Here is a 12,211-nt window from a genome sequence, read left to right on the forward strand (position 1 = left end):
GGAAAATACCATTCTTTCCCCAACTGTTTTGCAGTGCACACTTTGTCATAAAGCAGGTGTCTGTAAGGGTGTGGATCTGTTGTTGGGCTTCTCTTTTGCTTCATTGCTATATTTGTTATTTCTTGTGCCAGAGGCACCTTGGCTTTAAAAGAAGTCCTGATACCCAACAGGGAAAGTCTTGACAACAGTTGTGCTTCTTCAAACATGTCTAGACTGGTCTTGGTCCTTAGCATTTCTATGAACAATTTAGAATCACCTTGCTACATTCCACAAACACAAAATGTTGCCTAGTACTTTTATTATCTATTATTTTTTTTTTTTTTTTTTTGAGCTGGAGTTTCGCTTTTGTTGCTCAGGCTGGAGTGCAATGGCGCTATCTTGGCTCACCTCAACCTCTGCCTCCCAGGTTCAAGCAATTCTCCTGCCTCGGCCTCCTGAGTGCCTGGGATTACAGGCATGTACCACCATGCCCAGCTAATTTTGTATTTTTAGTAGAGTCGGGGTTGTCTCCATGTTGGTCAGGCTGGCCTTGAACTCCCAACCTCAGGTGATCTGCCTGCCTCGGCCTCCCAAAGTGCTGGGATTAGAGGTGTGAGCCACCACGCCCAGCCCCATCTATTATTATCTTATATCAGTAATAGTATTAAAGTTGAATAATTCTTCCTGGACCAGAAAATTTCAAGTTTCCAGTTGTATTTTCCAAATTCTTCTGGTTACATGCACCTAGCCTGACCCTTCTTGTAGACTTAGTGAGTCCCATGGTCGGATTGCATCTAGAAGGAGGTACATCGAGTGGGAGAGTCCACAGCACAGACAGAGACATCTGCAGAGGGACTTGGGGAAAGAGCACTGGTCAGGGAAAGAGGAGGTTTGGGTCTGGGTCCCAGCTCTGCCACCAACTGGCCAGGTGAGCCTGGGCAAGCAATTGCCAAGAAGAGTCACTCACTCCTTCTTCTGCATGGCCACTGTGACTAGTGCTCTCAACCACACATCCTTTCAACAAACAGCGAACTTACTGTCCATCAGCACTGGGGCGAAATAGGAATATAAAGAAGAATAAAGCATCATCTCTGCCTGAGGGGCTTAGCATCTACAACAGTGTCTCTTGGACTGTGCTGCAGTCAACACCAGGACTGAGAAATGACACACACAAAAAAATGTTTTGTGGTCAAATAATTAACACAAAACCTTTGTGCAATATTCCATTCATGCATATTAGCATTTATGAGATCTGAGAAGTCTTGGAGTTTAACCCAGATTTGCTTAACGATTGTATTAGTTTTCTATCACTACTGTAACAAATTATTGCAAACTTAGTGTAAAACACAAATTTGTTATCTTACGCTTCTGGAGGTCAGACATCCATATTGGGTCCTACTGGGCTACAATCAAGGTGCTGGCAGGGCTGTGATCCTGCGTGGAGGAGAAAATCTGTTTTGTTGCCTTCTCCAGCTTCTATAGGCTGCCCACAAGCTTTGGCTCATGGCCATCCACCATCTTCAAAGCCAGCATGACTAGTCAGCTCTTTCTCATGATGCCGTCTCTCTGGCTCTGCCATCACATCCCCATTTCTGACTCGGACTCCCTCTTCACATTTAAAAGATCCTTGTGATAAGATTGTGCCTATGGGGACTCTGCAGTATAATCTCTTAGTCTACAATCTTAATTCCTCTTGGTCGCTTAAGGTAACATAGTTGCCTTAAGGGATTGGGATGTGGAGGTTTTTGGGGGCCACTGTTCTTCCTGCCATGGTAGTGGAACCCCTGTGAGTCCACTTACCCCAGCTTTATTTATTTATTTATTATTTATTTATTTATTTATTTATTTATTTATTTTGAGATGGAGTCTGTCTCTGTCGCCCAGGCTGGAGTGCAGTGGCGTGATCTCGGCTCACTACAAGCTCCGCCTCCTGGGTTCACGCCATTCTCCTGCCTCAGCCTCCTGAGTAGCTGTTGACTACAGGCACCTGCCACTACGCCCGGCTAATTTTTTGTATTTTTAGTAGAGACAGGGTTTCACCGTGTTAGCCAGGATGAACTTGATCTCCTGACCTCGTGATCCGCTTGCCTCAGCCTCCCAGAGCTCTGGGATTACAGGCGTGAGCCACCACGCCCAGCCACCCCAGCTTTATTAAAGTTCATCTGACACTGCGTGGCACATGGTGTGGAGGACTCGGTGCAGGGTGGGGTCTTCCTGTAGCCCCTCACCATCATGTACTCTCATCTTGGTACTGCTCCTGATATCATGTGATAGATTTGTGTTTGTTGCCATTCTTCAAACTCCACAAGGGTGAGGTTTTCATCTGTTTTGTTCACTGCTATGTCCCATAGTGTTCACTGTTGCTGACATAGTCCTAGCAAGTAGGAGGTTCTCAGTGGGTATTTGTTGACCGAGAGTGGTGGAAAGTCTTTCTAATAAGACAGGAAGCTTCTTGAGGGCAAAATTCTTGTCCAAGTTATCTTTTCTTCCCCAGGGTCCAGAGGTGGCTGGTGCTGAATTTAAAGATTATATAGTGCGGGAAAAGGCAGACTCACCACCAGGAAGTCTTGCTGGAGGTCGTTTTCTTAAGGAATTTGCCGTAGTGTATACCTAGACTAATCTGTCATGGGCAGAAACTCTTCATCATCTGGGTATAAGTTGAGATAATAAGCTTCTCAGGCAAATTTGCAACAGAGGGTCCCAAACTTACTTGGTTCACAGCGTCCTGAGTCCAAAAGAAATACGTAGTAGTTTTGTTTATCAAGCAGTTAGGCTCATACTGCTTAGTAAGTGTTGCTATCCTCACAACATAGAGTAGCTGCTCGAAAACCATGATACGTATCAACAGAAAATATATATATATTTTAGTCATAATCGCTTACTAATGGGATGTGTGTCCCTGTTGGCAACTGCACAGTTTCTGAAACCTTGGAATCAGATTGGACATTGCCACCCTCATTTTCTGTGCATATTGATTTCCACACTTGGTTTTCTCACAGCAACTATGGAAAACTCAGCTCACAAAGATGTAATGTCACTGAAAGAAATCCAGTGTTGACACCATAGGCTACCTTGGGATAGTAGATTCACATGTCCAAGAGATGTCAGGTATTGCTGTGTTTCCCTTAGAAACTCAAGATATTCTGCCTTACCCCTGTGAGTTCACTGCAGTACCCAATGGTGTCCCAGCACAGTCTGTAAACTGAAGATTTGTGCTAATTCACTGAAGGCCTGTGTACAGAATGCCAGAGCCAGATCACCATGCAGGGGAGCACTGCATTCAAACCCTTGTCCCCTTGTCCAGCCATCTCATCCCTGGGAGGTCGGGCTGGCAACCCAGTGTGCCAATGTGCTTGGCTTGGCAAGCAGCAGATCAGTGGGGTGGACTCCGGACATCCAGTCAGTCTGGATGCTGATGAGGCTTGAGATTACAGCTGTTTCCCAGCAAGAACTCCTTCCTGGGCCTGGCCTGCTCCCAGCTCCAGCCCCTCTCCCCCAAAGATAGCTTTAAGAAATGAGGTATGGAGGGTGTAGTGAGCTTTGGAAAGAGAAGGACTGGGAACCCAGGTGGGTGCCAGCCCTCGTTGTAGGAGAGTCACAGGTGTCATCTATTTAACAAACCCTTCCCTGGGTCTTTCTGTATGCCAGACACTTTTCTAAGAGGTTTGCAAATAGGAGGTCATTCAATCCTCACCACAACCCCATGAAGTCGATCTATTGTTACCCCCACTTTACAGAAGAAGAAGCTGAGGCATGGGAGGTTAAATGTACTTTGCCCAAAGGTTCATGGAGCTGGGAAGTGGTAGAGCTGGGATTTGAACCCAGGCTGTTCATACTCTCACCTGGACTTTTCCCTTAGGGGGTTAGAAAACCTGGGCAATCCTTCCCACTGTGCTGCTTTCTAGCAACGTGCTGGGGCCAGGTGCTGAACCACTCTAAGATTCTGTTTTTCCGCTGTGAAACAGGCCCAGTAAACTTCCCCCTGGGGTCATTGAATGGCTTCCAGGAGATCAGGCATGTAAAGTGCTTTCAATTATCCAGGGTAGTAGCAAAGAAAGCCTTCAGACCTCCCTGACTAGGGAATCCCAGGCTCTCCTCCCCACCGACATACATGAACCTGGAAGACAGCAGGGGGCAGCACCGGGCCGCTGCAGAAGGTTCTGCACCTGGAGGCGCTGGCCCTTCCTTCCACAGGGATCCTGCATCTCAGTACCTGGCAATCTGCTCCTCCTCCATTCAGGCAGAACATTCGAGCTGGCTTTGCCAAAACAAGAACAAAATCACAGCCTGGCAGGATGAATTAAGGGGGAAACCAAGGAAGAAAGCTCAGCATAACCGTTGTTAGCTCAGAACCTGCCTTGCACATCTGGGCCTTCTGAAGCTGCTCGTTTCAGTTGTTAAGATATTTCTGAAGGCACTTCCCGATGCACGAAGGCCCCTCCCACGTCCCACCACCGGACTGTCCTTTGAAAAAGGTTCGAGAACGCGTTGCAGGTGGTGGTTTACCTTGAGGTCCGTGTGACGAGGAGCGACATAGAAAAGTGACCAGAGGTTGCACCTGAGGAGGAAGATGCCTTTTATACCAAAATACGTGTGCACAATGTCTTTGGTGTTTGGCGTGGGGTCCTATCAACTCCGTCCTGTTCCTTTTTAGCTTATCTTTGTTCAGCTGAAACCCAGATGAGAACAGGACCTTGAAAAAGCCACAATCCAAACTCTGGAAACCCACACCTTCTCATAGAGGAATTTGGTGGAGAGGCTGCCTCAGGGTGTGGTGTCTCCACAGCAGGCCACTGCTGTTCCCTGTTCAAGCCACCATCCCCAGTCACTGGCCCATCTGGGCCCTGTGGGGCTCCTGTGGACAGCTGAGGCCAGCAGCTTGAGGGACGCCCCTCCTTTTCTGCAAGAGGGCAGGAGGCCTGGGACCCCAATTGTGCTATGATGTCTGGCTAGTCCTCACTTTCAACTGTACTGTCCCCAAGCATGGGGATAACAGCACAGTCTCGATGCAACCCCTTCAGCTTGTTGGTTGTTTCTGTTTTTCCAAGGATGCTGAAGGCTTGGTCCTTTGACCCATTAAGTATTAATAATAATTCTCATTATTCAGTCTGTAGGGCATGGATCAGTGACGAATACATTGCTTGGGGGATTTATTTAAGGGAAGAAGGGCTATGATTATGGGTGATGGGGGAGGTGCCGGGAGTCACAGCAGATGAGTCAAGAAGGGTAGGCACAGCACCCATGGCAAGAGAATTGTATCCCTGTGCTCTGTGTCCCGTTCTTTTGGGAAGGCCTGAGCAGTGAGTTTGTTTGCTGAGCCGTCTCTAGAGTGCCAGTAACTCTGACTGCTGGCTTACCACAGCCTGCAGCCTGGATGGGAGGATATGACTGGCTTCAGGACTTTGCAGGAATCTCTCTGGTCTAGTGTGGGTGCCGCTTCTGACTCGGACAACTGTTCTCCATGCCCTCTACTTCCTGCTGCTTTCTCAGATCCTCTTCCTGCTGCTCTGCTCCCTAACCACAACCCCACTAAATAGAGCCCCCTAATTCTAGCCCATTCCGAAAGATCTTTTCCAGTAACATCCCCTGCCCCCAACTTTGTGTGCTTGGTTATCTTAAAGTTATGACAAACCAGAGATAATGTGCTGATCATGTGAACGTCACTCCTCTCCAAAGTGACACATTTTCATTTTCTAAAATGCACCTTATTAACAGAAATAAGATTCTACAGTTTCTGGTTGGCCATGGAGTGACTATTTGGAAACAGTGGAACTTCCAGATTTCTTCGCATCCAAGTAGGATTTTGCTGAGGGTGGACTCAGCCCTGTTTCTGTGATATAAAACATTTTCTTCATTCTTTCCTTCATCAGACATCTCCTATAAGCCCCGTTCAAATGACTGCTTCAGGGTTCTGGGTTCCCGTGTGTAAATGTGTGTTAGTTCATTCTTGCCTTGCTATAAAGAAATACCTGAGGCTGGGTAATTTACAAAGAAAGGAGATTCGAGTGGCTCGGGGTTTTGCAGACAGTACCGGAAGCATGGTGTTGGCATCTGCTCCTGGTGAAGGTCTCCAGAAGCTTCCAATCATGGCAGGAGGCAAAGGGGGAGCAGGCACATTACGTGGCGAGAGCCAGAGCAAGAGGGAGAAGGGGAGGTCCCAGATTCCTTTAAACAATCAGATCTTGTGTGAACTGAGTGAGAGCACACCCATCACCAAGGGGGCGGTGCTGAGCCATTCATAAGGGGTCTGCCCCCATGATCTAATACCTCCCACTAGGCCCCACCTCCAATATTATGGATTACACTTCAACATGAGATTTGGAGGGGACAAACATGCAAACTATATTACGCGGCTTCCTTTGCCCGGTATTTAAAAACCATTTGCCTTCCTCTGTGTAGTTTAAGTTGTTTTTCCCCACCTCAAGTCAATGAATGAGTTCGGAGGAGGGAAAGCTTCAAGTCAGCGAGGCTAGGATTTTTACTGGTTGGTTCAATGCTGAATCCCCAACCCTGAGAATAGTACTTGGCACATAGAAGGAGCTCAGTAAAACTTGACTGAATGGATGAATATGTGATTGGTTCCACAATGACATCACCGAGAGAATTTAGGGTGAGTTGGTCTACGCCTATGAACAGACTAGGCTGGAGAGCTACCCTCCACTGGGCTTAGGTTCCCAGCAAGTGACATTCATCTCTCACCCTGCTCTCCAGGTGCCCGTGTGGCCTGTTAGCACCCAACCTTGGAGCTGCCTGGCCTGGAATTACCCATGCACTGACTGTCCTCATCAGATGGCCAGCTTCTAAAGGGAAGGGCCACTTTCTGGACTCTTATTTTTGCCTCCAGGGCCTGGAGAACTGTCAGTGCTCAAGAAATGTCTACCAAATTGAAATTTAAATAGATACAGCCTGTGGGTTTGAATTTGGGATCAGTACTTTTCCCAGAATGTCCTAAAATTTCTGTGTAAAATACCAGGTATTGTATCGATCAGATACTTAAGCACTGCCCAGAGCCTGCCATTTTCTCAAGTGCTACAGAATCACTTAATTCCTGAACAGCTGTTACAAGCAGCCACAACAACAGTGGAAACAGATAATGACTTCAAAACGTGGACAGAAATTGAAGAATTGAAATTAATAAATGTGTAATTAAATGTTAGATATTTACCATCGTGTGAACTTTGTTATTTGCTGAATTTCGGAGTCTTGAACGTTTTATTATATTTGAAAATAATTTGTGGCATAGATTATCCTCACTTCACAAAAAATTCTTGAGTTTGCACAGTGGGTGTCAAGGGATCTTAGCCAACCATAAATTAAATAAGTTACATAAAAGTAAGTAAATGTAAAAGCAAAATTATAAAAGCCTTTTCAAAAGTGTGGATGGCAGAAAAAATATTTAATGATAGATGCGGATGTATTTTAATATGTTTGATGTGGGGTGAAGTCCTCTAAAAGTAAGGGACACAAATTTCAAAGCAACCTACCTGAAATACTATAGAATTGTAGCATAATATACAGTGCTTTCATAGAGTTTCCAAAAATTAGAAATTCAGCCTTTCCCCTCTAGGATTTTTAGATGAATTCCTAATGTCATCTCATCTCATCAATGTAAAATAATCTCCTTGACCTTTGGTGATTTTGCTCATCGAATAGCTTCTGTTTTGTAATCTATTTTTTTCTTCATCTTCCTTCAGGAATCCTGTTCACGATGCTGGTATTTGGACCAGCCTGCGGGTTTATCCTGGGCTCTTTCTGTACCAAAATCTACGTGGATGCGGTCTTCATTGACACAAGTAAGGAATATATCTCCATGTCTACCTTCCATCCGCAAGCGTTTCCTCCCTCATAAATGCGGCTTCAGCCTGTGGGTTCTAAAACCTTCTTGCTAAGAGACAGTCTTGATGCCCCTGCCTCTGTAGCTGGGGCTCACCCGAGATTAGATGAAAGAACGTGAGTGTTGGTTCAGAGGGCCTGACTCAAGTCTGGGTTCTGCCAACATCTACCTAGAGGCTGAATAACCCCCAATAGCTGATTTTACTCCTCAAATCTGTATTTTCCTTATCTGTAAATAAAGGGTAACAATAATTACATCGGCCTGGCAGATAAGAATTTAATGAGAGTGTCTGTGTAGAAATGCTTGGCATATCCTCATTGAGTGGGGGCCCATTAACCTATATGAGGATCCTACTTTCCAAACTAAAAGTTGGAGCATGTGTTCTGGAGGTGCAAGTGTACAAACGGGGTCAATGAGACAGAATATTGGAACATCCTTTTAGAAGACACTGTTGTGGTGGCCTTTGTGAGGAAATATCCACATTCAAAACCATTTTAAGCAGAACCTGTGTTCTTAGCAGGAAGTGCAAGTGCATTTCTCAGAATACCCTGAGTTCCCCAATCCATGATTGTGGGATTGAATGGGATGCTAGATCGATGGGCTAGACTATTCTGTGGTGACAGACAGTCCCAAAACCTCAGTGATTTTATACAACTAAGGTTTATTTCTTGGTCACACTACATATGCAGTGTAGGTCAGCAGTGTCAGGGTCAGGGAGACTTGGCTCATCGTGGTGACCTGTAGATCTACTCTCAGGATCGATAAGCATTCTCAGCCCCCCAGGCCCAGGCCCACAGAAGTTCCATCCTGACCCCAGCTTGCACAGTTACCAAGACAGGAAACCAGTTTTACTCTGGCCCTTGAAACCTCTACTCAGAAATGACATACAGTGTTTCCCCTCATATTTCATTAACCAAAGCAAGTCACGTGGTGTATTGGTTTCCTGTTGCTGCATAAGAAATAACCCCAAACCTAATGACCTAAAACAGCAGACATTTCTTATCATACTGTTTTTCGTATTTTTTTCTGTGGGTCTGGAATACAGGAGCAGCTTCACTGGGCAGTTCTAGCTCAGGGTCTCTTATGAGGCTGCAGTCAAGGTGTTGCAAGGTGGCAACCTGGTCTTGGATCATCCCAAGGCTCAGCTTGGGGAGGATCCACTTCCAAGCTCACTGCCATGGGCCCACAGGAGGGGACTACCTCACCGTGACACCCCTGAAGCAAACAACCCAAGAGAAGGTGAGAGAGAGCACCTGAGGCAGGAGTCACAGTCTTTTTATAACCTAATCTCAGAAGTGACATCTCATTACTTCTGCTGTATTTCGTTTGTTAGAAGCTAGTCACTTGTTCAGGTTTACTATGGAAAGAGAAGGGATTATTACACAAGGACCAGAATACCAGGCAGCAGGGACTTTAGGGGACCGTCTGGGTCATTGCCTACCATGTGCTGTCACATCTCTACCTTGTGTCTGAAAAGGAACACTATATTTCCATGTAGTTTAGCATGCAGCAAAGCCATATTTCCTTTCTCTCTGAAAACAGAGGGTGAGAAGCCATTCCAGCCTCTGCTTCTCATGCCGATCTATCCTCAGGATCAGTAAGAATTCTCAGTCCCCAGGTTCTCAATCCATCATCTCTTGACAATGCTAAATTTACTAATTCACCCCAAAGAAATAATGTGGTTTTAAATCCAAGTCGCTTTGTGATTCACTCCATTAATCCTACTGATATATTTACTTGTAGCTAATGATGTTACAAATTTCCAAGTGGAAAAAAAAAATCAGAGGCAGCCCTATTTATTTATACTTTTAAAGTGCTGAGTCTGTTCCGAAGGTGATTGAGTGCTGGTGTTTTGCAGCCGTCGGCTGGCCCTTTGAACCCGTTTCCTAGGGAGTGTGGTAACAGGTAGGCTGGGAAGACACAGGACACATGAAGTGAGTCAGTTTCCATCTTGCTCGTATAGACAGGCCAGCTTCCACCACTGCACCCAAGGCAGCACAAGACAGGGCCAGCAGAGGGGATAGAGAGGAGGCATACTCCTGATGCAATGGGGAAGCCACCTTGAAGGGTAGCAAAGTGGCCAGATAGCATATTTTGCCCTCAGTGCTATCAGTGGTGGCCTTGAACCAAAAGCCTGCGAATGACCAGAATATCTGAGCTGGAAAGAGCCTCAGACATCATTCCTTTCCAACTCTTTCATTTTACAAATGAGGAAACCAAGTCACAGAGAGGGGAAGGGATGTCCCCAATCCAAGGAATGTATCTCTATAAAACCCCGATCTCCTGAGCCTGCCTGTGGAGATTTCACTCACCAAACTCTCTTAGGAGAATGAAACAGCACCTTTTCTCAGTGCCTGAAATGACCAGCGGGTAGACAGATGGCTGGAGGGGGCTTAGCCCATCCACTCCCAGTTCCCTCCATTTGCTGAGACTGTTCCTTCAGCCTGGAATGCTGTTCCCATCTTACTGTGTTCGGCATCTCTGTTTGCCCGTTAAGGCCCAGGGTGGAGCGGTGTGATCCATGGTTCCAGGCTCATTGGCTACTTGGTGCCTGCATGGATGTAAGGCAGGTGGGCTCCTTTCAGTCCCGTGTGGGCATCTCGCTGATGACAGGCTTCCCCACCAAGTTGATAGCGGACTTCCCTTTCTGTTTCCAAAGAATGCAAGGTGCATTGTCAGTCACGGTCTTTGTTTGCGTCCTTCCCGGAGGCACCGTGAGGCACCGTGTGGCACAGCTCTTTACCGGTAGAGGGCAGAAGAATATCATTTATCCTATTTAGGGAGTCAGCCATAGAATTCTATAGTTGCCAGCAGTTTTTATTGTTTCTAGTCTTGTGAAACTTGCCGCCTGCAGGTGGATTTGGGCTGTATTTGAGGAGGGGATTCTTAATTGCTTTAGGGCCTCCCCTATCTTTTCCTTGCTTTCCTAAAACAGTGCTCTTCTGTAGGGCTGTCCAATGTATGGGAACATTACTGTAGGCATTAATAGGCAAGGGCCACACACGTGGACACATGTTTCTGAAGTCCCCACTGAGATTGGGGTCCAGGAAAAGCAGCAGCCTAAAATTTGTGGGGAAGGAGCAAGGCAGGTCCACAGAGGGCCCTCGTTATGGGGTAGATGGAGGAGAGAAGGCGGCGTCCACCACATAGCCTGGTGCCAGCATTGAGAGGAGAATCCAGTGAGGAAGCCTGGTTGAAACTTGTGAGTAGATGCAGCTGGGGTGCCAAGGAGGGCTGGTTGTAGACATGGGCCAGTTCTGGGGTGACAGCCCCCACGGGGCACCTTGCCTGGAGGTCCCAGCTGGCTCCACTTGGACATGGGCTGCTCCCGCTGCTGCCTTTCATCCATGTTTGATCGCTACGTGGTTCCCTTTGCTCCTCAGCTCAGGGAGAATAAATCCCTCCCCTGAGAGCTGGGGGAGGAAATGATGGTGCCTCCAGAATTTCTTTTTTAGGTTCTTTGTTAACTGAAACCCAGGTGAGAACAGGACCTTGAAAAAACGGACTTAGTAGCAGAGTACATATCTAATCACTGCCTTGGCCAACCTTAACTATGTGGGTTTATTACAAAAAGATTAGTAGTAACAGCAGCCATGAATTGGTCACTTCTTAAAGCTATACATAGATTGCCTCATTGGAGCCTCAGCACATTCTCATGGGAGTGTAGATCCTACTGTTAGGTGAGGCATTATCATGCAGTGGTTAAGAATTCAAGCACTGGAATCAGACTCCATTTGAATCCTGACTACACCCCCTTATGAGTTCTGTGATCCTGGGGACATCGCACACACATCCTGAGTCTGTGTGTGGATGGCATGAGTTACTCATGCAAAGCATTTAGCACAGTGCCTGGCATATAGTAAGCACACAATAAATACTTATAATAAGAAATCCGAGAGAGGTTAACAGTTTCCACAGCTAGGGATAGAGCAGGGATTCATCCCCAGGCCTGTCTGACCTCAAAGCCCCACTCTTAACAGAACAGCTGGCTTCCCTGAAACATCTCCAGGAATTTAGCCAGAAGGCGGCTCCCTTCCATGGACAAAGGCCTTGCTGAGATGGCCTAGCCTCACCAGCACATCCATGCAGACTTGTCCTGAGGCACACACCAGCCGGCCTCGCAGAAGGCTGCATGGCGTTTGCAGCTGGAACAAGATGTGGCCATCTGTTTGCTTCACAAAAAAGGTCAACAGACTGAGAGCCTCCTGCTCTGCCATCCTGAGGGCTGGCTGCTACTGCTAGATTCCTTCATTTTGGGCTAATTAGCCCAATGGCTGCGATTCTAGATGTTCAATGCCACCCTCCAGCCTTAGTCCCTTCCTGTCTCCAGTTTCTAATTAGGTTTGTAACTTAATGATACTCTTGGAATTCTTGAGTCCCATAGCAAAAGTTTGGCAA

General features: G+C 46.7%; 1 protein-coding gene across 3 annotated transcripts in view, besides 1 other annotated feature; it reads left to right on the plus strand.

The window, feature by feature from the left end:
- The window catches only part of SLCO3A1 (solute carrier organic anion transporter family member 3A1), a 318,728-nt gene that overhangs the window by 233,500 nt on the left and 73,017 nt on the right, over positions 1–12,211 (plus strand). For all 3 annotated transcript variants that reach the window (NR_135775.2, NM_001145044.1, NM_013272.4), the window contains exon 3: positions 7,674–7,772. Coding sequence is in view for 2 of the 3 variants with exons in the window: in NM_001145044.1 (NP_001138516.1) it covers positions 7,674–7,772 (99 nt within the window). In the remaining variant the exon portion in view is untranslated. The remainder of the gene's footprint in view (positions 1–7,673; positions 7,773–12,211) is intronic.
- Positions 3,725–4,461: an enhancer, noted in NCBI's record as "NANOG-H3K27ac hESC enhancer chr15:92634162-92634898 (GRCh37/hg19 assembly coordinates)". NCBI's record gives its function as "activates a minimal SCP1, AML or CMV promoter by ChIP-STARR-seq in primed H9 embryonic stem cells {active_cell/tissue: H9 hESC(primed)}" and the evidence as "EXISTENCE:reporter gene assay evidence [ECO:0000049][PMID:30033119]".

This window comes from Homo sapiens, chromosome 15, assembly GCF_000001405.40.
Source record: "Homo sapiens chromosome 15, GRCh38.p14 Primary Assembly".
Taxonomy (NCBI): domain Eukaryota; kingdom Metazoa; phylum Chordata; class Mammalia; order Primates; family Hominidae; genus Homo; species Homo sapiens.